This window comes from Homo sapiens, chromosome 14 (genome assembly GCF_000001405.40).
Source record: "Homo sapiens chromosome 14, GRCh38.p14 Primary Assembly".
Classification (NCBI taxonomy): Eukaryota; Metazoa; Chordata; class Mammalia; order Primates; family Hominidae; genus Homo; species Homo sapiens.
Genome location: NC_000014.9, coordinates 63,446,939 through 63,473,276, shown reverse-complemented (window position 1 = coordinate 63,473,276; position 26,338 = coordinate 63,446,939). Strand labels below are relative to the sequence as shown.

General features: G+C 39.3%; 1 protein-coding gene across 10 annotated transcripts in view, besides 1 other annotated feature; it reads left to right on the top strand.

Annotated features, from left to right (window-relative positions):
- Window positions 1-26,338, top strand: part of PPP2R5E (protein phosphatase 2 regulatory subunit B'epsilon) — a 172,014-nt gene that overhangs the window by 70,101 nt on the left and 75,575 nt on the right. For 8 of the 10 annotated variants that reach the window (XM_047431543.1, NM_001282179.3, NM_001282180.3 and 5 more), the window contains one exon: window positions 19,392-19,588. The exons of 1 other annotated variant lie outside the window; for it this stretch is intronic. In XM_047431543.1, the coding sequence (XP_047287499.1) occupies window positions 19,392-19,588 (197 nt within the window). Of the gene's footprint in view, window positions 1-19,391; window positions 22,011-26,338 lie in introns of those variants that run through there. One more of the 10 variants, NM_001354926.2, reaches the window with a different exon arrangement.
- Window positions 1,543-1,622: an enhancer, noted in NCBI's record as "active region_8504". NCBI's record gives its function as "activates an Ori minimal core promoter by ATAC-STARR-seq in GM12878 lymphoblastoid cells {active_cell/tissue: GM12878}" and the evidence as "EXISTENCE:reporter gene assay evidence [ECO:0000049][PMID:35858748]".

The following is a 26,338-nucleotide window of genomic DNA, read 5'->3' as shown; positions in this document are numbered from 1 at the left end:
AGCCCCTTGTTTCCAGTCCTATTTCGAGTCTTTTTCTCCCTTGGAGTTACCTCACATTCTGTTGTTGCCACTACAGTTCATGAACTTCCTTGACTAACTTCTCTGTCTGATTGTTTCATTTTTACCAACAGTATCATCATTCTTCCAACCTGGAAACATTAGTAATCTTTGACTATCTTTCCTTTCTGTTATATCTAATGTAATTTAAAAAATCCCTTTGTTTCTTACCTTCTGGTATCTCAGCTTCTTTTTCTTCTATTCTTCCACGGCCATCAACTTCGTATAAGCCCTCATAACTCTTCATACTTGGTTCTGATGACATTGTTTTTGGCTAATTTGATTGCCTCCCTTCAGCCCCCGCTAAAACACTTCTCATTATGTTTGCTCCTGTCCCACATTTCTGTGTTGTCAGCCACATGAAACCCAGGTTACCCTGCAGTTTGTAAAGTCCTTTCTGGCCAGGTATGTCCTCATTCCTCCCTCTCATTTCCCACTCTTTCTAGTCACCTGTCTTCCATGCCCTAGACATGCATATCTTCTTATAATTTCTCCCATAATGTGCTCACTCTCACCTCTGTGCTGTTCTTGTCTAAAATATCTTCCACCTTTCCTTTGTTTATTCCTTGTTCTATTCATGCTTCCTTTCTGTCCCATCACTAGCTGAAAGCAATTCAACCTAACTGGCTTTCTAATTGACCTTAGGCTGTGCTGGTGATAATACAGGTTTGAACTCTCAGTTAGACTCCAAATCATATGCAAGTTCAACAAATGTCAGGTGTTCAAAACAAAATGAAACAACCAAACTTCTGTGTCATTACATTTTCCTGAACAGTAAATTAAATCCAAACAAGGTTGAAGTCTTGAAGTAAGCCAGCTTTAGTGCAAAGGAGAAGGCTGGAAGGTTAGAGAAGACTTTGAATCATCTTTTGAGAGACTTAACACTAATGTAAAGGGGTCCTTTATTTTATTTTTTTTTGAGATGGAGATTCACTCTTGTCACCCAGGCTGGAGTGAAATGGCGTGATCTCAGCTCATTTCAACCTCCGCCTCCTGGGTTCAGCCGATTCTCCTGCCTCAGCCTCCTGAGTAGCTGGGATTACAGGCGCCTGTCACCATGCCCGATTAATTTTTGTATTTTTGGTAGAGATGGGGTTTTGCCATGTTGGCCAGGTTGGCCTTGAACATCTGACTCAGGTGATCCACCTGCCTTGGCCTCCAACAGTGCTGGGATGACAGGCATGAGTCACTGTGCCCAGCCTAAGGGGGCTTTTAAATATTAACAGAAATAACAGGCCAGCTGGAGAATCTTTCTAACCCTTGGTAGTTGCATTTTGCTTGGTACAAAGAGGAGATAGATGACAGAATGCTTGTCTTCCTCAATCTATGTTAAAGAGTCTGTTAGGAAGATTAGGAAGATTAACCCTTCCAGATGGTCCCTCCAGTGTACGTTGTAGATATTAGATGAAAACAAAAATGATCAGTAGTGATAAGCCAGCTCTCATTAGTCTTTAGCAGAGGTGGGATAGTGTACAGGTGCCAGATTGTGGAGGTCTGAAGCTCAGCAGGGCCCCCTTTCCAGCTGTGTGATGGTGGGCAAGTTGCTAAATATCTTTGGGCCAATTTTTATATGTAAAAATAAGGTTGGTAATACCTACCTCACAGCATTGTAGAAAGGATTAAAGGAGTTAATACATGTAAACTCCTTATAATAGTGACTGCCACAGAGTAAGTGCTTACTAAGTTTTTACTATTATTATGTATACATGATATGACTGGGAAGGGATGACTCATTCAAGATTTTCAGAAACTATTTATTGTGAAACAGGAAATGGCTCTTTAGAATGCGTATCTTTTTCTAATACCTGACCTGTCTTCAGTGACTCTTGTTTATTTTGGGTTATTCATTCATTAATTAACAAGTGTATTTTGACATTGCTTATAGTCAAGATCCTGAAAGAGTGTATTGTCTGTAGGAGATCATGATATTTTCAATAGAGGATAGATTCTGAAAACTTGTGAGAGTTGTATGAATGAGGTTCTTCTGGCCCATCTGGGTCTATGAACAATCTATACATAAGACATCTGGTTTTATCAGAAATTTGAAACTTACGCATTTTTATGTGTACTCTCCATTCTCAAAGAGAGCCTGGTGCGTGTTTTTGCAGATTTATGTAATATGAGAGTTTCTGGAATCTAGATGAATGTCATTCAGAGTGGTCTCTCTTGAACTTGCCCCACTTGGCTTTTTTCAAAGAAATGTTGTCATCTGCATGCTATGCTTGCTTTGGACTTCAGGGTGGGGTAAAAAATGGCTCAGAAGCTATTGCTTGGTCACCTTTGTAATATCAGGGTGCATTAATGGTACAAGCAAGCAATGTAGATTGTCAAAATTTCAGAATTAGACATTTTATCTTTTTATTAGGATGCTGTAATTTTTTTTTTTTTTTTGTAGAGACGGAGGTCTTTCTGTGTTGATCTTCCCACCTCAACCTCCAAAAGTGTTGGGATTATAGGTGTGAGCCATTGTGCTCAGCCACGTTTTTTTTTTTTTTTAATCTGTTGATAAAGGCTTGTTTTTATGATCCTGTGAAAGTAGATTAGGTGTCAATAGAGTCTTCAGATAATTTGCTTGTTTTATGCTGGAAATTCCTATTAAAATTATGCAATTGGATGAAGCCATTTTGTTATTGTCACTATGAAGTATTTTTTAATAATATAAATATGTTCTTCCTAGAGATAACCCCTTAACCCTTTAGTAGACAGGATAATCAATCACCACATTATCAGAGGGCAAGTCGGTTTTTTTTTTTTTTTAAACTTATGGAAAGGTTATGAGTGCAGAGTGTGATTGTGGAATACTGTGTGCCTTGGGGTTGGAACTGGGCTATAAGTAGGGAGGTAGGAGGCTGGATGCAGGGGCTCACACTTGTAATCCCAGCACTTTGGGAGGTCCAGGCGGCAAGGATCCCTTGAGCCTAGGAGTTCAAGACCACCCTGGGTAACATAGTGAAGCACTGTCTTTACAAAAACTACAAAAATTAGCTAGGTGTGGTGGTGCATGCCTGTAATCCCAGCCACTTGGGAGGCTGAAATGGGAGGATTGCTTCAGCCAGGGAGGTCGAGGCTACAGTGTGCTGTGACTGTGCCACTGCACTCTAGCGTGGGTGACAGAGTGAGACCTTGTCTCAAAAAAAGTGGGGGGTGTGGGGAGGTAGGAGATGAGGAGGACAAAAATCATTGTTTATTCTTTATAATCCTACTGCCACATTTATCTGTCCAAATAAATGGAGAGGAGGAAGTATTTCATTTTGGTGTAAAATTATCCCTTCTGGTTCTTTGTAGTGAAGTTGTTTTTACACGTTAGCCATTGACCCAGAATAATAAAACTGAATATCTTGCAGCCTTGGTTCTCTTACAGGTAAAATGGGAATATTAACATGTATTAGGCAGGAATTTTGTAAGATTTTAATGGGAGGATATAATGAAGGACCTAAGCTGGAGGTCCATTTCCTTGTCAGGTGCTTTTTTCTTTTCTGTCTCTCAACTTGGTCCATGAAATTCAGATACTTTACTTGATTTTTTTGAAACGGAGTCTTGCTCTGTCGCCCAGGCTGGAGTGCAGTGGCACGATCTCGGCTCACTGCCAGCTCCGCCTCCCGGGTTCACGCCATTCTCCTGCCTCAGCCTCCTGAGTAGCTGGGACTACAGGCGCTCGCCACCACGCCTGGCTACTTTTTTGTATTTTTTTAGTAGAGATGGGTTTTCACCGTGTTAGCCAGGATGGTCTTGATCTCCTGACCTCGTGATCAGCCCGCCTCGGCCTCCCAAAGTGCTGGGATTACAGGCGTGAGCCACCGCGCCCGGCCACTTTAATTGTATTTTTTGCCATTATTAATAGGTGCAAATCTTGCTTCCCCCTGGACTGTACTTTTTTTGAGAGTAGATCCATTTGTTTTCATTCTTTACAACATATGCCCTTATAATATCTTCTTGTACCTTTTTTTGTAATGTAAAATGTTTTAACTTTTATATTTATCTATATGGTCATTTAATTAGGGTTTCTCTCCATTTGGTCTGTAAGCTTCATGAAGGCTAAGAACATGAAGTTTGGTTTTGCTTAATAGTGTATATTTATAGCCTAGACTAGTGCCTGGCATGTAAAAAGTGTTCTGTAAATATTTGTGGAATGAATGAATGAATGATTAAGTTAAACATGGTAGATTCTAAACAAATTCGTGTTGTGGGAAGGTTGAAACCACCTATCATATCCCTTCCAGACTTAGTCTGAACCCTTCTAGGAGGCAATTAAAAGTTTGCAAAATTTTAGTTAAGTCCTTAGATCTCTAAATAACAGAGTGTGTGGGGAAAAGAAAGGTTTAGAGATACTTTGAAGTGGTTTAGTATTTTATGTTATTTTAGTGGGAGGTTAATACTGTTTGTTTTGAATATGTTGTAAAGAACTCTAAGTGTAAGTTACTATTATTACTTTTAGTTAGTATATATAAGTATTAATATTTGTGAGTATGATACTAATTTAAAATTTTGGCTCCAAGGACAAAGCTGTCGAACATTGCTTGTTTATTTATTTCCTTTGCACATTTTGCATAAACCTGATTATATCAGAAGAAGCCTTGATGTGTGAGACCCAAGTGGTATCCTTGTTTTGGCAGTGCTCATCCAGATTGTTGCAGTCTTCATAAATTCTAGCTTCTCTGTCCCAGATGCTCTGTTTGTCATTCATTCTTCCATCCAAATGCTAACTCTCTTCACCCTTCAGGAGTTTGACACGTTGCTGATGCATGTACTGATAGCTGACTCATCTCACCTATTGAGTCAGCATCTTACCTTTCCTCTAATCAAGTTACAACTTTATTTTGAAGTTATTTCACTGGGTATTATATTAGTAGGTCAAGGTCAATATTATTTTCTTCAAATATGCTTACACAACCAGACATACCAAAAAGGGAGGGGAGATCTATATGTATCAACAATTTATATTGTTCATTTTTGAAAAAAAAGACTGGCATTGTGTTTCACACAATGCCTAGAATATGGAAAATATTCAGTAAACATTCTGTGTCTTAAACGCTCGTGCTATCACTGTGACAAAGCTACTGTTTTTAGGCTCATTTTGTAAAAGATACTAAGGCTCAGCAGTGCTTTTTAACAACAACATTAATTTAGCAGTTAAAGTTTATTGAGCACCAAATGTGTCCCAGATACTCTTCTATGTGTTTTTATTTTTATGTACTCACTTAATTCTTAAGTAAACTCTGTGGGGTAGGTGCTGTTATTATACCCTCATTTATAGATGAGGAAACTAAGGGCTAGAGACTCACCTAAGCTTTTCCAGCTAGGAAGTGGCAAAGCTGACCTTGGACTCCAGGCAGTCTAACTCTGTAGCCCATCGTCTTAGCTGTCACACTATACTGCCCAAAATTGCCCAGCTGGAGCCTGATTGGAACCCAGGTCCCCTGATTTCAAAGTCTGTGTGTGTGTGACCCCAAGGACAACCTCAGCCATCTGGAAGAATGCAGAATGGGCTTACATTTCTTTTTCAAGTTCCCAATTATGCTGAAAGAAATCGAATTCATTTGACATCTTAAACGTTTCTGTGATGTTTTTCCAGAATTATAACTGACAGACTTTTGAGATAGTGGACCTAGTTGCCGAGCTTAGTTTTAACTTTATTATACTTATTAAGGTCAACTCTTATTTCTCATATGTGGTCTGGCTCCTTAAGTGGAAGATAGAGTTATATAATATGTTTTCTGAAAGGGAAAGTCATTTTCAGTACAATCTGAAGAGAAAATGTTTGTACTACCCCATGGCATGTTTAGCTAAACTCTGGGTTACAGTATTAGACATAGAATGCTGAATTATATCAAAATTCAGAAAAAGGCTGTGCTTAGAATTGCACTGTAAGCATGCATATCTTTAGGTTTCAGTGACTGTCTTACCCTTGGAGACGGATGTTTTGTGGCTAGGAAACCAGCAGCATAGAAGGAACATGTTGTAAATAGTGTTTTTTTTGTTTGTTTGTTTGTTTTTTTTGAGACGGAGTCTTGCTCTGTCACCCAGGCTGGACAGTGGCAAGATCTCGGCTCACTGCAAGCTCCGCCTCCCAGGTCCATGCCATTCTCCTGCCTCAGCCTCCCGAGTAGCTGGGACTACAGGCGCCTGCCACCACGCCCGGCTAATTTTTTGTATTTTTAGTAGAGACGGGGTTTCACCGTGTTAGCCAGGATGGTCTCGATCTCCTGACCTCGTGATTTGCCTGCCTTGGCCTCCCAAAGTGCTGGGATTACAGGCGTGAGCCACTGCACCCGGCCAATAATGTTTTTAAATACTTTTCTGTTCTGAAAGTGTTAAGCTTCCCAGACACGTTCGCTGTCCTTTTTAAACTCTCTGCATTACTGTTCTCCAAGTTTTGATTTTGGAGTCATATACTCAAAACTGTTCATACACACATACATACATACACATATGTATGTATACACATATGTATACACACATACATACGTAAGTACACACTTGTAAGTTTCTCCGTCTTTATTGTTTTATGCTTGAATAATTCTGCTTTTATACACACGAGGAAATAAAGCTTTGAAATGGGTTTCTTGTCTCTTGGCATGGTATTTCAGATTTGAATTTTGGATTTCCTCAACTGTTCTATGTGGACTTACATTTGTATTTAACTATATTAATTAAGTAGTATCTTTTGTATGAAGCATGGGAGAGCTTCACAATTAGGGGACTGTGTACTACATGCCTGTGTACTACATGCCATCCCTGGATTTTACTGCTGAGATTATGACTTTAATTATAAATTTACACTCTTTATTACTCTTGGGATTAGAAGCTATTCCACTGTTCTCAGTCCTGTGTCAGTCTCAGGAGCTTAAGCTCTCATACTTTAAAATCCCAACAGAGGTTCAAAAATAGCATCTCTAAGCTGGCATTGCAACATTGGATTGACTCTTGTTGTTGTTTTTTTTTTTTTGTATTTTTAAAACTTTTTTTTTTTAAGTTTCATGATGTCTTTGATCAACTATAAATTATGAATTAACAGATAAGTGGGCTGTTAAAATAGCTGCAGGTTCATTTTATTCTGAAACAATTGGTGTTGATGTTAATCTTCAAAACAAATGGAAAATACATAGGCCATTTTATCCCCTTTAGAAGTAATCTCTTGGGGAAGGACCCTCAATTAACTGAAATGCTTGAAAATAATGTCTCCTTTTATTGCCGTTTTTTTGGCCGGGTTGTGGGGAGGGAGGGTCAATTGAATGTTACATGCTTGCTGAAAATCTTTAATTCCATTAACTTATTTCCTTACCTTATAAGCATGGCGTAAATAAAAAATAATCTTTTTTCTTGAAGATTTTTGTTTCTCATACTTCTGAACCTGACTGAAAATTGGGCTTCAGTGATGCTGACTCTCAGGCACATCCTGGAAATTTGTTCCGTAATTCCTTTTTATCAAATTAGGATTTTATGATTTGCTCCTTGTCTTAAAAGACAAGTGCAGAAGAGAAGTTATGGTTATTTGAGAGTTCTAAATAGATGGCCTTTGTTTAATTCAAGTTTGGTATTACTAGAATAAAATTTTAACAAAAAATTAATGTTTCTTTAAAAAAAATTTTTTTTTGAAACAGGGTCTTACCGTGTCACCGAGGCTGGAGCGCAGTGGTGCAATCACGGCTCACGGCAGCTTCTGCCTCTTGGGCTCAAGCCATCCTCTGACCTCAGCCTCCTAAGTAGCTGAGACTACAGGCCTGGCTAATCTTTTGTTAGTTGTTGTTTTTTTTTTTTTTTTTTTTTTTGTAGAGGTGGAGTTTTACCATGTTGCCCAGGCTGGTCTCGAACTCTTGGACTCCAGTGATCCTCCTGCCTCAGCCTTCCAAAGTGCTGGGATTACGGGCGTGAGCCACCATGCCCGGTCAAAAATTTAATGTTTCTAGAAATACTTCAGAATAAAATTAAAAAATTGTTTAAAACTAATTTTGAAGGTGTGCCAGAAATAGCAAATATAAGTATTTCTGCACAGAAGATAGTTTTAATAAGTTATGAAATAGGAAATTGATTCCATACAGTATTTATAGATACTTGATAAATATTTGTCAAACGAATGATGACTTTTTTGTGGAAAGCACTTTCCACCCTAGAAATGATTTTTCATTTAATCTTTACTCAACCCTGTGAAGTACATTTTCTTTTTCTTTTCTTGTCTTTTTTTTTTTTTCTTCTTCTTGAGACAGAGTCTCACTATGTCACCCAGGCTGGAGTGCAGTGGCACAATTTCGGCTCGTTGCAACCTCTGCCTCCTGGGTTTGAGCGATTCTCCTGCCTCAGCCTCCCAAATAGCTGGAACTACAGACACATGCCACCACACCTGGCTAATTTTTATATTTTTAGTAAAGACGGGGTTTCACCATGTTGGCCAGGCTGGTTTTGAACTCCTGACCTCAGGTAATCCGCTCACCTCGGCCTCCCCGAGGTGCTGGGATTACAGGCATGAGCCACCGTGCCTGGCCAGAGTATATTTTCTTAATTTTACATGCAAGGAAACTAATGCTCAGAGAAGTAAGTGGCTTGTCCATTGTCAGTAAACAGTAAAAGTGTGATTCTAATTCAGAACCAGATTCCAGGCCAAAGTCCTCACCGTGTTTCACAAGACCCAAGATGATCTTCTGCAGCCACTTGTCCTTTCTTCTTCTGTCCTTTTCTTCCCCACTTTCCACTCCAGCTCCAGCCACATTCACTTCTTTGCTGATCATCAGATTCACCAGCATGCTCCTTCTTCCTGCCACAGTACCTTGCACTTGCCATTTCTCTCCTTGGGACACTCTTCCCCAGACAGCCTTGGCTGACTACCCCACTTCCTTCAAGTATTTGCTCAAATGTCATCTTCCAGGTGAATGCTCTGTTTAACATTGTACCCTTCAACCCCAGCGTGCCTAGTCCCCCTTGCCCTGCACACTATTATTCCCCATAGCATACACCGTATAACATGTTTATTATTTTTAGTTTCTATTATTTGTCTCTTCCTGCTAGAATGTAAAGCTCAGGACTTTTGTCTCCTCTTCATTATGTTATCACAGTAGTCCCTGGCTGTTGGTGGGTGTTCAATGAATATTTGGCGGATCAGTGAATGATAGAGTGAGTGAATGAATAGAGGAGCCCATTCCCTTTGCACTAGACCTTCTCATTTTTCATTTATAAATAATAAATGACAAAATTTTCGGGTTATTTTGCTATAGAGGGCATTTCCAAATTATGCTACTTAATGTTGTATACTCATCTTCATTTTGAATTTTTTCCCTATTTTTCTCTTATCCTTGAATATAAACCATTCTGTTTATTTTAAAAAGTCAATTCGGCCGGGCGCGATGGCTCACGCCTGTAATCCCAGCACTTTGGGAGGCCGAGGCAGGCGGATCACGAGGTCAGGAGATCCAGACCATCCTGGCGAACACGGTGAAACCCCGTCTCTACTAAAAATACAAAAAAGTAGCCGGGCATGGTGGCGGGCGCCTGTATTCCCAGCTACTCGGGAGGCTGAGGCAGGAGAATGGCATGAACCCGGGAGGCGGAGCTTGCAGTGAGCCGAGATCGTGCCACTGCACTGCAGCCTGGGTGACAGAGCTAGACTCCGTATCAAAAAAAAAAAAAAGCGAATTCGAGTTTTAAATAAGTTGTTAAAATAAGGCATTACCTTACTGGATATTAATAAGGGAACATAGTTCAGGGAACTGAGGAACTAATGCATTTTTTTTTGGTTAGGTTCTTTCAGATAAGCTGGCTCTTTTCACTCCTTCTTATATTTATACATATTGGGTCATTAAAAACTGTCTTGCCTGTAATCCCAGCACTTTGGGAGGCCGAGGTGGGCGATCACGAGGCCAGGAGTTCGATACCATCCTGGCCAACATGGTGAAACCCCGTCTCTACTAAAAGATACAAAAAATTAGCTGGGCGTGGTGGTGCGTGCCTGTAATCCCAGCTACTCGGGAGGCTGAGGCAGGAGAATCACTTGAACCCAGTAGGCGGAGGTTGCAGTGAGCAGAGATTGTGCCATTGCCTCCAGCCTGGGTGACAGGGCGAGACTCTGCCTAAAAACAAAAACAAAAACAAAAACAAAAAAACCATCTTAGTTTTTTTTTTTTTTTTTGAGATGGAGTTTTGCTCTTGTTGCCCAGGCTGGAGTGCAATGGCGCCATCTCAGCTCACCACAACCTCCGCCTCCCAGGTTCCAGCGATTCTCCTGCCTCAGCCTCCCGGGTAGCTGGGATTACAGGCATGCGCCACCACACCTGGCTAATTTTGTATTTTTAGTAGAGATAGAGTTTCTCTATGTTGGTCAGGCTGGTCTCGAACTCCCGACCTCAGGTGATCTGCCCACCTCGGCCTCCCAAAGTGCTGGGATTACAGGCATGAGCCACTGTGCCCAGCCATAAAACCATCTTACTTTTAAAATTTGCATTTCATGACTTGATATTATTAATATACTAGGAAATAATTTATTTTATTAAATACATTATATCAAGCCTTTTCCTCTATTCTTTAGTCTAATTTTATTTCTGGAGGAATAAAGTTATAATTTAAAAATGAAAACATGGGGAAATAAGATGCAAATATGTAGAATTTACTTACTCAACTAACATTACGTACCTACTATATTCTAAAACTTCTGATACGAACAGTTTATTAAAACGTGCAAGGCAGGTGTAGTGCTGGTTAAAAAAAAAGTTGCAGTATAATGTAGCAAGTGCTTGAATGGAGGTATGTGCAGTTTCATGGGAATTTTGTGTTAAGAATTTTAAGGACTGACATGGCTGCTCTTCCTTTACAATTGCAGAACGTATGATTTATCTTCTCAGCTTTTATGATGATCTACAGTTGAAGGCTGGGTGCACTGGCTCACACCTGTAATCCTAGCACTTTGGGAGGCCGAGGTGGGCGGATCATGAAGTCAGGAGATTGAGACCATCCTGGCTAACACGGTGAAACTCCATCTCTACTAAAAATACAAAAAATTAGCCGGGCAAGGTGGCAGGTGCCTGTAGTCCCAGCTACTCGGGAAGCTGAAGCAGGAGAATGGCGTGAACCCAGGAGGCGGAGCTTGCAGTGAGCCGAGATTGCACCACTGCACTTCAGCGTGGGCAACAGAGCGAGACTCCGTCTAAAAAAAAAAAAAAAATACAGTTGAAATCGGTACTGTCATTACAGCTAGAATTCTGTTGTCCGTGCTTCTAGAAAAGTATTGGAAGAAAGGAATAATATGGCTCAGAGATCCCCAAATACAGGCCCTTGGAAAAGTTGTTGGCAGTACTGGGAAAAGTGAAAAATAAGAAGAGAAAGGAAGGTCGAGAGAGAATATACCACTCTATGTGTGTATGTGTGCACATGCATGTGTGTGTGTGTGTATGTGTGAGGGGTAATTGCTAACCCTCCTTTTTATTTTTATTTATATCTTTTTGAGACAAGGTCTCACACTATTATCTAGGGTGGAGTACAGTAGCACGCTTATAGCTCACTGCAGCCTGGGCTGAAGTGATCCTCCCACCTCAGCCTCCCAAGTACCTGGGACTACAGGCACACGCCACCAAGCCCAGCAATTTTTTTTTTTTTTTAAATTTTGTAGAGACGCGATCTCGCTGTGTTGCCTAGGCTAGTCTCAAACACCTGGCTTTTAAACGATCCTCCCACCTTGGCCTCCCAAAGTGCTGGGATTTTGGGTGGGAGCCAACGTGCCCAGCACCAACCCTCCTTTTGAAAGGAAGTATTGTCTTTTATTCTATGATCGTTCTTTATCTTCTTTTGTTATTATAAAGGTGCTTTATTTTTATGAAATTATAGTGAAAATAAATGGTGGCTATGTTTTTAATGCCTTTACCTGAAGAAAAATTGACAAACTGCTTTTTTTTTTTCTGTAATTTTACTGGCACGTAACATCCTCAAAAGAGGGAACCACTGAAATGCAAACTGTAGAATACTGTATATAATTCTTGCAGCTCTTTTTTAGTATAGCCTGTCAAGCTCTAGGAATTCCTCATATTCAAAAGGCCTCGGTTCTTTCCCTCCTGGCATTACTGCCCTGGAAATAAGCCCTTAGGAAATGAATTACTAATAAAGACATTGACTTTGTCAGAACCTTTGGTGGCATCTGTCCTGTGGTGAGTTTGGTGGCAGGAAAATAATTAAACCTCTAATGAGGAGTTGATCAGTTTTAAAATATTTTTTCATGTGTTGACAAGTTTCAGTAACCAACTTGGCATTAGAAGATAAAGCATGAGGGATAACATGCAGTGTTGGAAACACTGTGTCATTTATCACTGTGTGCATTTATCACTGTGTGTCATTTATCAGTGTGCATGTGTGTATGTGTGCGTGTGAGTATATTTTCTATTTCTTCTGATTAGATCATAGTGTCAAAATAACACGAAAGCCCTGAATCATGTAATTTTGCTGCTTGAAGCCATACTAGTTTGTACTAGTGGTGGTGACCTTTGGTTTTTATTTGTAAATTGGAGAGCATATTGTTAGCTTTTGGGAAAGGGAAACTGGAGAGCTTCATGACACAATAATAATAAATACATGTTCGTTGTCTCATTTGGGAAGAATAATTAATATGTTATTATTATCTAAAACTTAAACCTACCTGCCTAAACTTGTTCACTAGCTTAAGGCTGATTTTATACTGTTGTAAGTTTTAAAACGTGAATATTTGTATTTAATAGAAAAGTCAACCAATTTTTCTTTTAGACTGCAACTTCTCTTAAACAAATAACTAACCATAGCAATGGAAGTATATGTACAACTCTAATGGGGGTTAGTTGCTGTTATTTAGCATGATCATCACCATTATCATCATTGTTATTGGTATGCCCCTTCCCTCCTCCGCAGCAAGACTGTTGGGGCAGTAAGACTACTGGGGTTCAGATACTAGCTGCAGCCCTTCCAGTGTGTCATGTTGGACAAATGACTTAGCCTTTCTGGGTGTCAGTTTCCTCATTTGAAAAACTGGGATATTAATAGTGGCTACACCTAAGATATTCTGAGGATTAAAAGGGATAATGTGTGTCAGGAGCTTAGTACAGTGCTTTATGGTTGTAAGTGTTCATGATTGTTATTGTCTCTATTCTTTTTACCTGGAAATTTCAGTCAATACCCACACCTTCATCTCATCCTTTTGACAGTATTCTATCTGTGCTAGTCATTCTATGACACGTTTTGAACCTTTAAAAAACGTGTATGCTAATAATCAGCAAAGTGTTTCTCAAGCTCTCTAACAGATTGGCAAGATTTCTAAAAGCAGCCAACTCGACATTCACCTATTATAGCCAAGGCCAAGAAAGAACGCTTTCACTGTTGTAAATGTTTCCAGGGACCTTCCTTAGCTTGGAAACTAAAAGTTTTCACTGCTAGCTTTAAATAATGGAGAGAAAGAATTTCAAAGGAGGAGGGGATGAAAGAAGGATTTTAGAGTGCTTACTTTAAAAACGGTGGTTTTTAACCGTAGTGACATACTGAAATCACTGGAGTCACTTTTATAAAATACAAATGCTTAGCAGTGAAATATCACATCACCACCACCACCACCATCACCACCATCATCAACAACAAACATCTTTGAACTCACTTCTTTGAATACAATAATAAAGTAATTGGATTGGTCAAGTATTTAATGCTTATTTTAGTTAACAGATTGGTTCTGGGTTAGTTTTTTATTTGCTTATGTGCATTGAAATATCCTGTGTAATCAACATGTTATATTTGGCTCCAGTTCATAGGACATGAAGTCTATTATTTGATTTATTATAAAGGCTTATAGTTGTCTCCTCGTTTTGAGGAAATATTGTTGGTTATATCTGTGATTTACTGGTGTCAAAAGCAATTCCTGTAATGGAAGCTTAGTTCTACTAATAAAATAGGATTATTTCTAGGTTTCTTGAAATATGTGCTATGAAAAGGTAGAGGTAAAATTGATAGCAATGATTTGGACAGACTACATGGGCAGGTAATTAGGCATTTTACCGCATATGCTAGTGTACCTAGCTTCAGTCTATCACGGCTCAATCTGCTTAATAATGTTTTATTTATGTTAATGTTTTAGTATTAAGCATCTCCTTAGAACTATGAGACACTTAGTTTTCTGTAAATATAGACTCGTATGTCTTATGCAAGTAAAATTCTCAGTGATTTTGTTGAAGTTTATGGAGAGTTGCCCGTGAAGGACAGAGTATACATGGATGAGGATTTGTACATCTTAAGAGAAAGTTCTGTGGGATCAGAGGCCATACTTACTATTCTCATTGTGTGCTGGTCCTATTATTTTTTGTGAAAGTTGGAGAAATAGAAGTAAAAGGGCTAAGTGAGTAATACCTTAGGACATTTTCAGGTAAAAAGTATTGTTAATTTAGAAGAATTTTATTTTAGATCTTTTGAATGGAAATATAAATATAATTTATAGATATTCATTGAATGATATTATAAATATTGTTCATTAGGAGCTCAAGCAATGTTATAGTTTAGCTTCCAATGCAAACATATGAACATTTTATAGAAATACTTATTCACTCTATTTCCACATACATTTCAATAGTTTATGTGTAAATAATTTGCCAGTCCACATTTTCTTTATTAACTTATTTTTTAAAAGCAATTTACCTTATTTTTATGATATGATGGGTAATAAATATAATGATGTAGGCCTCCTTTATTTACTTGGCTGGCATATTTGCAAATGTGAATTTAACGTTCTGATTTTTAACAACTTTTGTTGATCGGAGTCCCAGAGTACCAAACTCAAGAGACTGGGCACATATTTTATTTCTTCTACCCTTGTTACTTTTTGCTTTGCAAAGTGCTGAATGAGGCAGGCCTGAAGAAAATGTGAGGTGATATTGGATCCATGATTATGTGCCCCAAACATTAGATAGGGTGGAATGATGGAAGTGGACTAGTAGGGAAGAATGAGCTACTTCTGCAAATTGTAAACAACCTTCCCTTTAAATCATGATTAGGGTGAGGGGAGTGCCCCCCAGCAAGAGCTAAACTGTATATAGATCCTGTTGACTTCTTTAGATACAAAGAGAATCTTTGTCTTAATCTGAGATTGCATCCTCACTCTGTGTTGAGTTTTATGTCCATTTTCCCATTGCATGTCACACTCGTAAATTTAAAAAATATTCAGATGTAATGAACACCTTGGAGGTAGGCGTAGTCATTTTCCCCTGCTTATTGATGAAAATTGATAGGTGGATACTGGAAGACGGTGATATAAAGACATAAGGGGGAGAATGACTACTGCTAAAAAGTAAAGAGAAGTACAGTGCAGTGAGAAGTACAGTTTAGCTGGTCATTGCATTCTTTTCTTGGTGGAGAAACATATTCTGGAAACCAACTTAAAATTTTAAGAATTCTTCTAGAGCAGTGGAATCTGACCTTATGGGATCTTACCAAGCTGTGATAATGGGATCAATTATTCTCTCTTTTGAACACATACAACCTTGGATGGAGGAGTCATTGTGCCAGTGACCTTCACGGTATTACATAACCGCTTATTGATTGCTCATTATTTATGGCCGTGCTTCTGTGGGATCCCTTTCCTGGGAGCAGGGATGGCCTCTGCTGGCCAGAGGTTTTCACTGGAAGATAGGTGACGGAAGCATCCACTGCCTGGTCTGCTTTGGGATTCTAAGATGACCTTTAATTTTCCTAATTCACATTTATTTCTTAATGACTGTAATTTGTTTTTTTCTTCAGTCTTGACTTCTGAAGTTTTTAGATTTCCAGGTGACTTGGATTTTGGAGGTGGGTAGCTTTGAGTTGTTAAAATCTAGTGTTACTGTATTGTGGTCAGAATTCATTGCCTTTATGATATGTTTTTGTTTTTTATGAGATTCTCTTTATGGCTTCTTAAGTGATCCTTTTAATAAATGTTTATTTAAAAAGAATATTTGGATCTACTTCAGGGACTGCTTACATAGACACTAAACTTTTCTTATATAGTGGAAACCTTCTGGACTACTCAGAGATTGTTCCTTCTCTGATCTCTGGCCTGTCCTGCCTTCTCACATTCTACCTTTTCACATCCACCTGGGACTAGGTAGATGAGAGAGGAGATTGGGAGCAGTATTAGCTATATGGGACAGTCTGAGGCCCAGACATTATATGAAGAACCTCTTGTTTGGACTGGTCATCCTTCAACATGTATAAAACTTTCCTAAATTGTTACCATAAAGGGATTGTCTCTTTAAGAACCCCCTTTTGGTTCATCTTGACTGTGCAAGTTTTTTAATTTAATGAAGGTAGGTCATTTTAGAAAGAATTTAGTTTATGATAAAGGACAAATCGCAGCTTTTGCTGTGTTAATTCTTGGTGCATGGGCTAGAGGGGAGATAGAGAAGGGGTTTAGCATGATGCTTTATGAATGGAGAGTCATTTGTTCATTTTGTCTGCTTTCTTCCTCCTCTTCTGTGTTTGCACACACCCTGTGTTCTGGAATAGGGTATCACTCTGGTCTTTCACTGTGTTTCGTGTTGCATTGCACAGTGGTGAAGGGTCCAGGCTTTGGAGCCAATCCACTTGGGTTTGAATCCTGTCTCCACTGCTTATTAACTGTGTGACTATGGGCAAGTCACTGACTCTGTGTTTTGGTTTACTCATTTGTTAAGTTAGAAATAGTACCTACTGCAGAAGGCCATTGAAGGGATTAAAGGAGATATAATATGTATAAGTGCTTAGATAAAGTGCCCAATAAATGTACCCAATATATTCAATAAATGTAAGTTATTATCCTTATTCCACTGGACAGGTGGATAGCCTGTTTCACATTTGTCTATGACATTATATCACTTTGCACAAATAAAGGATAAATTTCAACTGCCTAACATTAAAAAATAGGACTAAGTGTTAACTGCCTAAATTTTTTGAACTGCTAAGTATATGAATCTCTTGAGTACTATTGCAGTGACCACAAATGTTAATTGTTGTTGTCACTGCTTAAATGATGATGTACTTTAGGAGGAAAGACTACAATTCATCGATGCTTTTATAAGTTATATATGCTATGTTAAGGAGTTCAACATGTAGATAGTCTGATTTTTAGACTTTATTAAAATCACTATATCAAATATTGAATTAATTAAAATTTCCCTAAAGATTTTGACCTGTAACGAATGTTATATTAATAAGCTTTTTCTTGGCCAGGGCGGTGGCTCATGCCTGTAATCCCAACACTTTGGGAGGCCGAGGTGGGCAGATCACCTGAGGTCAGGAGTTTGAGACCAGCCTGGCCAACATGGCAAAACCCTGTCTTTACTAAAAATACAAAAATTAGCTGGGTGTGGTGGTGGATGCCTGTAAGCCCAGCTACTCAGAAGGCTGAGGCAGGAGAATTGCTTGAACAAGACTTCATCTCAAACTAAAAAAAAAAAAGCTTTTTCTTGCCCCCTTTGCAGCATCAGTATTCCCATTCGGCTGCTAGGTCTGGGGTCTGATTTCGATCTCGAAAGATTTTAGTAATTAACTGTGATGGTCCTGTGCATGAATTAGTCATTGGTTAAGGATATAGTCATGCTCATAAGCAGCCTTATTTCATTTTTATTTATTTATTTTAAACGCCCAAAGCAGGTAGCACTTAGAGAGTTTGGTCTGACTGAATTTAGTTCTTGTAGTCTAAGGCTAAATATTGTAAAACCGATTAAATCCAGGGGGGCATAGGATAAGACCTATATCATGACTGCAAGACACATTGTGCTTTTGGGGACCTAGGAGTGATGGGGGAAGGGAAACTCACTGGTTAATAATTTCTAAATTCAATACTTGTTTTTGCTGAGAGTAGGAGTGATGCTATACATTCAAAGATATGGACTGCTTCTTGTTCTCTAATGTCTGGTAGAGAAAGCCTATGTATTTAGGTGTCCTATCCACTCTCATCTAGGTTTACTTAACTGGCAGTGTTTTGCCAGAATTGCCTGTGAGGTCCGAGGTAGCTATGCTGGCATTTGGGTTGTGGGGTGTAAGGTGGGGTAGAAGGTTGTAGAGAGGAGCCTGGTGGGTCCTGTGAAAATGAGGCTGGCCTTCACTTCCTGCTGCTGGTGGCTGTAAGGGGGGTGCTGTATGCTGTTGCCCTCCTCTCCAGGGAGCAGGCAGCCCAAGCCAGGAGGCCATTGTAAAGCATTTACCAGAAGGCTGGCAACTGAGGATGACTGCAAGTGACTACACACTGTTAAGGTCCTTCTTGCTTAGTACAAAAGGAACATGGGAGTGTGGTTAGAGACCTGGGCACTTTGCCCAGCTCTGTAACCCATTCCCTGTGGGACCTCAATGATTGTCTCTATTTTGTGTGTGTGTGAAAAATGGAGAAGAATAATGCCACCTGCTTCTTTCTAAGGATGTTCTGAGGATTAATGAGCTAATCACCTTGGATGAAGGCAGTAGAGCCTACCCTGGTTATAATTTTCATTGCTTCTCCAGGGAAGCTCCAGTTTGGGGGAATGAAATATTGGAAAGAAGATAGGAGGGGATAGGCTGTCTACAGCTTAGTCGGTATATTTGAAGTCCAACTGTAGATCAGGCTCCTTTCTAGCTGAGGAATTTCAACTAACCTAAAATTTCTACATATTTTTTAGAAACAACGCCAAGCCAAATGTCTGACCTGCTGTTTGCGGGAAAAGAGCAGATGTCCATTCTGGGAACATATTAATATAAGATGTTAGTGGTTTTCTCTCACAGTACAAGAAGATGGGTAAAAAGAGAATGTAGATTTATATGGCATTTACTCTTATTTTCTTATTGCTGGTGTGCTCTTTTTGAGAGAGTTGGTATTGTTTCATTTAGTAGATTTTTCAGGTTTCTTTCAGAAAGAAACTTCATACAGATCAAGCCAAAACAAAACAAAAAAATATAAACACACAACAATAGCTTTAAATACCAAGGATGTCAGCATGAAATTAAAATAAATCAACTGACATTTCTGCTTTGAAATTTTTTAGTAAAACTAATTTAAACCACAGCGAAAGCTTTCTTATAAGGGAAAGTTTGACCTTTTTCAGTGTTTTTAATTTAAAGGTATTGACATTGGGGTGTTTTTGGTTAAAATTTGCTTCAACCTTCTAAAGTCTTTTGGGATTTTGGTCAATCCTTGGTTGTGGAATAGCAAATACAGTCAATTTTGTTGGTACAATGTAGTTTTCAAAGACAAGGTCTCTGAAGTAGTAGATACGGTATCCCCTCCCACCCATGTGTAACTGTGAAAAAGAACACTGTTGTCATGTGAATTCTTATTTTTTTTTAGCTTGCCTTTGAAGTAACTTTCACAGAGAATTCCTGTTACCTGGAAATTGATGACAGACTTACACCATTTCCTTTTTTTTTCTTAGACGTTCCATCCTCAGAGCAGCCTGAACTGTTCCTAAAGAAACTTCAGCAGTGCTGTGTCATTTTTGACTTCATGGACACGCTATCTGATCTTAAAATGAAAGAATACAAGCGCTCCACTCTTAATGAACTGGTGGACTACATTACAATAAGCAGAGGCTGTTTGACAGAGCAGACTTACCCTGAAGTAGTTAGAATGGTGAGTTTCTTTTTTTCTCCGCGGACACTTTTAAGCATCTTCCATAGTGACTCACAGGTGTATATATTGCAAGAGTGAGGTCATTGGAGGTCAACTCCACAAATGAGAGCCAACCTTTGGAGAGCTAAGCAAATGTAGTCGGCACAGTGCTAGAATTTGAAGAGCATGATTTCATGAGAACGAAATCCAGAACTTTAACTACGACAGTGCTGAAGCAATAAATGACTTCAAAATATGAAGCCAAGATTGCCAGGGTATTACTGGATTTCTAGCTTTGGCAAAAGAAAAGACACAGGAAAATAACAAAAGTCTTAGATCCGTGTTTGAAAAATATTCAAGCCTGTTGGATGTCTTTTTTTTTTTTAATCTTATTCATTGTGGTATATTAGAAATGGCTTAATGCTTAATAAAATTGTGATTTGTAGAATGTAGTTAAGGCCTCTCTTGGGCTTTATAACTAACGCTTCTCTTTATAATCTCCTTGAAGTCAGGGTTGATACCTTTTATGATTTTTGAATAGTGTCTTAGATTTTGTGTGGTCATTAGGAGTTATGAGGAAAAACATTATTAACATAATGTGAGTAATTACATTCTTACTGTGTGAACAATTATTTTAGTTTTTCAAAAGCTGAGCCAAAATGTGGTTTTCTGATAGATTTCTGTGGGAGAGTTGCCTTTCTTGGCATCCCAGAAGATCTTGGAGCTGGAGAGTGCACGCTATTTGGGGATGGGCTTTGCAGGGTGGGGAAGCTGGTCTACTGACTGGTGAAATAGCCTCAGAGATCCTTAAGGTCAGTGCATCGTTGAGGAGTCCATTGCAGGATCTGGCACACTCTCTGTGTACTGCGGAACATCTGCCTGGCTTTTGTATTTAGTTCTTTATCATTTGTATTCAACCAATGCAGAAAAGAGACTTTTGTGATGGAGTAGATATGTTTAAAAATGATAGTTCAGATTTGCAAAGGCACTTGAATGATCTCAGCGTGAGACTGTGACTGAAATAATGAAGGTCATCTGAAAACGATGCCCAATATATTCCTCAGTTCTATATCTGAATGTATATTGGATTTGTTGTTAATTTACAGGAATGTAGCACTAGAATGTTTTGTAGGTTAAAGATGACCGTGTGGCTCTTGAGCAGTGCTTCTCAACCAGGTGTGATTTTACCTTACAGGGGACATTTGTCAGTGTCTAGAGACATTTTTGGTAGTCACAACTAGATGTGAGAGGAGAGTACTACCAGCATCTAGTGGGAGAGGCCAGAGATACTGCTAAACATTTTACAATGTACCGGGTGGCCCCCACAATAAAGAATTATCTGGCCCCAGATATCACAAGTGCCACTGTTGAGAAACCTTGCTCTTGAGTTTGCATGCTATCTAAACCTCTTAATGTGATGCAGAGGATCTTCTCTAGTCTACCTGCCTTCTGCAGAGCACAGTCCCTGGTTTTAGCCTACCTGTATCATCAGCCAACAGAGGTATCGGTTATGACTTTCTTCTGTATCTTCCCATGGATAGTTCATGAATATATAAGTATATGCAAACATATGTATAAATATTTTTTTTTGTAAGCACACAAATGGTGGCACACTATGTATTTTCTGTACCTTGCTTTTTTCACTTAGCAATATATATTTCAGTACATATAAAGTTGCCATATTCTTTTTATAGCTGCATAATATTTATTGTGTGAATGTACCATATTTAAGCAGTACTCTATGAATATCCTTATACACACATCAGTTTGCCTTTGTATGAGGACATCTGTATACTTATTTATTTTTAAAAATTTAATTTTTTAAGAGCAGTTTTAGGTTCACAGCACAATTGAGAGGAAAGTACAGAGATTTCTCATATGCCCCTGTCCCTGCACAAGCACAGCCTCCCCCATTATCAACACCTCCCCCCTCACTCCCACCAGAGCAGTACATTTGTTACAATTGATGATCCTACATTGACGCATCATTATCACCCAGAATTCAGAGTTCACGTTAGGGCTCATTCTTGGTGTTGGACATTCTGAGTTTAGACAAATGTGTAATGACATGTATCCACCATTATAGTACCATACATACCATACATCACTGCCCTGAAAATCCTCTGTGCTCCACTTCTTCATCACCCACCACCTTCAACTCCCTGGCAACCACTGATCTTTTTACTGTGTCCATAATTTTGCTTTTTCCAGACTGTCATATAGTTGGAATCATACAGCATGTACTCTTTTCAGATGGGCTTCTTTGACTTAGTTATATGCACTTAAGTTTCCTTCATGTCTTTTCAAGACTTGATAGCTCATTTATTTTAGTGTTGAATAACATTTTATTGGTTGGATGTACCATAGTTTATCCATTCACCTACTGAAGGACATTTTAGTTGCTTCCTAATTTTGGCAATTATGAATAAAGCTAATATAAATATCTGTGTACAAGTTTTTTTTATGAACATAAGATTTCAGCTCCTTTGGGTAAATACCAAGGAGTGTAATTGCTGTATGTATTGTATGGTAAGAGTATGTTTAGTTTTTTTTTAATTTGCATTTACTTTTATTACTTGTTATAAGTAACGAGTATGTTTAGTTTTATAAGAAACTGCCAAACTGTCTTCCAGGGTAGTGGTACTATTTTGCATTCCTACCAGGAGTGAATGAGAATTTCTGCTGCTCCACATCCTCACCAGCATTTGGTATTGATTTGATTTAAATAGCCTTTATTTCCTTGTTTCTGGACTTTCACGTATTCCCCACTCCCTCACCTCTAGTTCTAATTCTCATTTTCCCTTCAAGGGCTGACTTAAAGTGCTACTATTGTTTTCCTGAAAAAACACAGTGCTTTTTCCTTCCTTCAGTTCCTCTGCTTCTTGGCAACTCACCATTTTGGGAATTTGTTCATTTGCTCCTTTTTTTTTTTTTTGTCTTTTCACATATTTATCTGATTTTTCTAATTAGGTGTAAGCACACCTAAGAAGGAACTGTGTCCTGCACATATCTGTGGCATCCATAATACCTCCTACCTAGTCCAGGTCTTCTTGAAATTTGTTGAATGAATGAATTCCTCCTTAAAATGTAGGCATTTCAGTCTCTCAAATTATGATTAAGATATTGGATGTCATTGGATTATACCCAGATTTTAAACTGAGTGTTTAGCATAATCCAAAAATTCTGTCATCCATATGGACCAGCTTGGTGTTAAACCAGCTTTGGTCTCCTAAGGGAGACCGTTTTCTCCCTCTTTTCCTCCCCATTCTCCAGCCAAAAAAAGAGACTCCTATCATTTGTATGTGTTTTAAAATACACTGGAGCTTTATCTTAGGAGGCATTGAGTCTGTTAGTGTACATGCTGTTCTAGGGCATTAGAAAATTCTAGATGGTAGTTTCGGCTTCTTAGAAGTATAACTTATTTTTCATATTTGGTGATTTCTGAAATTGTTAGCTACTAATTATATACGGTACTTAGACACTCTGGAGCATTTACAGAAAGGGGATATTATGATAGAGTAGAAAGAGACAAGGCGCTGGGCGCGGTGGCTCACGCCTGTAATCCTAGCACTTTGGGAGGCTGAGGCGCGTGGATCACTTGAGGCCAGGAGTTTGAGACTAGCCTGTCCAACATGGTGAAAGCCCATCTGTACTAAAAATACAAAAATTAGCCTGGCATGGTGGCACATGCCTGTAATCCCAGCTACTTGGGAGGCTGAGGCAAGAGAATCGCTTGAACCTGGGTGGTGGAGGTTGCGGTGAGCTGAGATTGTGCCACTGTACTCCTGCCTGGGTGACAGAACAAGACTTCATCTCAAAAAAAAAAAAAAAAAAAAATAGGAAAAGAAAAGAAAAGGCAAGGCTTTGGAACCATACAGACCTGGGTTCAAATGCCAGCTCTGGCCATACTTTCTACATCAATGTGAGCAAGTTACTTTAACTTAGGGGTTCTCCATTTTTGTGTGGTGCTAAGAGGTACATAGGGTGGGGGGAGGGTAGCCATAGTTTTCCCAGTCCCTCCTTAAATATTCCACCTAGGTAACATGCTTGTGCTTTTGTTTGCATATCAGGGTACTCAACACCATACATACATATACAGTCCATAGAACGTGTGCTTACTGTTCTGTAAGGAAAACTGGAACCACGTCCCACTTGGTGCCCTCATTCCCTCTAAGCCCATTGTATATATACATCCTGGTGCTGGTCACTTTCCTAATTTGTGTAATACCTGTCTTTGGGGGGTTTTGTGAGGACTAGCGACAATATTTATAAAAGTTTTAGAACAGTCTCTAACATGTGGCAAGTATTCAGTAAATACTATTTTTACATTTCAATGATTTTATTAGATACTTGATTTTACGATCATTGGTGGAACCCACTGTTACTTCTTTGTACTTAAAATACTCCGTCACTGAGATGTGTTTTATTCCATTGCCACAGTGGTTCTTAAGTTCTCTAATTCCAAGATGATCCTGCCTGTTGGGTAATCACTGTCCCCGCTGATTTCTCTTTCGTGTTACTGTAAAACAAAATCACTTCACCAGAATTAGTGAGGGAAATGATAGTGTTTTTTATGAAATACTAATGAAGTGATAGATGGGTTTTGCAAACCAGGATGAGTAATGATGTATAATGGCATGTTACAGTATCAGCATTAGTACCGAGAGCTTTTGATCCAACTTGATGGGACTTGTACTTTGAGAACTGGTATTCCTGTTAGGGGAAGAAAAGAGTAAGAGATAAAAGTAATCTATGTGTTGTGGAAACCATTTTTAACAATTAAATGAAGTCTGGATACCACCTACAGACTTCTAGAATTAGGAAAGCAAAGCAGCTCTTATGGGTATAAACAAATCACATGCACACCTCGTTTTATTGCACTTCATAGATATTGGGGGTTGCTTTTTTTTTTTTTTTTTTTTGACGAAGTCTTGTTCTGTCACCCAGGCTGGAGTGCAATGGCACGATCTTGGCTCACTGCAACCTCCCGCCTCCGGGGTTTAAGCAATTCTCCTGCCTCAGCCTCCTGAGTAGCTGGCATTATACACGGGAGCCACCACGCCTGGCTAATTTTTGTATTTTTAGTAGAGACAGGGTTTCACCATGTTGGTCAGGCTAGTCTCGAACTCCTGACCTCATGATCTACCCACCTCAGCCTCCCAAAGTGCTGGGATTACAGGCGTGAGCCACTGTGCCCAAACAAATTGAAGGTTTGTGGCAACCTTGTGTGGAACAAAACTGTTGGTACCATTTTTTCCAACAGCATATGCCCCTTTCATATCTTTGTGTCACATATTGATAATTCTTGCAATATTGCAAACCTTTGCATTGTTACTATATCTGTTATAGTGATCTGTGATGAGAGATCTTTGAAGTTACTTTTTAAAAATTATTTATTTATTTATTTATTTTTGAGATGGAGTCCCGCTCTGTCGCCCAGGCTGGAGTGCAGTGGCTCTGTCTCGGCTCATTGCAAGCTCTGCCTCCGGGGTTCACACCAGTCTCCTGCCTCAGCCTCCTGAGTAGCTGGGACTACAGGCGCCCGCCACCACGCCTGGCTAATTTTTTGTATTTTTAGTAGAGACAGGGTTTCACCATGTTAGCCAGGATGGTCTCTATCTCCTGACCTTGTGATCCACCCACCTTGGCCTCCCAAAGTGCTGGGATTACAGGCGTGAGCCACCGCGCCCGACCTGAAGTTACTATTTTAATTGCTTTGGGACACCATGAAATGTGCCCCTACAGCAAACTTAATCGATAAATGTTGTATGTGTTGTGACTGCTCTGCTGAGCGGTTGTTCCTCAGCCTCTGTCCCTCTTCTCAGGCCTCCCTATTCCCCGAGACACAACAGTATTGAAATTAGGCCAATTAATAACCCTATAATGGCCTTTAAGTGTTCCAATGAAAGGAAGAGTCACATGTCTCTCATTTTAAATCAAAAGCTAGAAGTGATTTAGCTTAGTGAGGAAGGCATGTCAAAAGCTGAAACAGACCAAAAGCTAGGCCTCTTGCATCAGACAATTAGACAAGTTGTGAATTTAAAGGTAAAGTTCTTGAAGGAAATTAAAACTACTACTCCAGTAAACATGTGAATGATAAGAAAGTAAAACAACCTTATTGCTGATAATTGAGAAAGTTTCAGTGGTCTGGATAGAATATCAAACCAGCCACAACGTTCCTTATGCCAAAGCCTAACCCAGAGCAAGGCCTTGGCTCTCTTCAGTTGTATAAAGGCTGAGAGAGTTGAGGAAGCTGCAGAAGAAAAGTTGGACAGTAACAGAGGTTGGTTGGCTTATGAGGTTTAAGGAAAATAGCCATCTCTCTAACATAAAAGTGCAAGGTGAAGCACTAAATGCTGTTGTAGAAGCTAAAGCTGCCGCAAGTTGTCCAGAAGACTTAGCTGAGACATTGATGAAGGTGGCTACACCAAACAACAGAGTTTCAATGTGGATGAAACAACCATCTATTAGAAGATGTTACCATCTCTGACTTTTACAGCTGCAGAGGAGAAATCAGTGCCAAAGCTTGGGCCAGGCTGACTCTCTTGTTAGGAACTAATGCCACTGGTGACTTAAGTTGAAGCCAGTGCTCATTTACCATTCTGAAAATCTTAGGGCGTCTAACAACCATGCTAAATCTACCCTGCCTATGCTCTGTAAATGGAACAGCAAAGCCTAGATGACAACACTTCTGTTTACACATGGTCCACCAAATATTCTGAATTCACTGTTGAGGCCCACTGCTTAGAAAAACGTTTTGTTTTTCTTTTC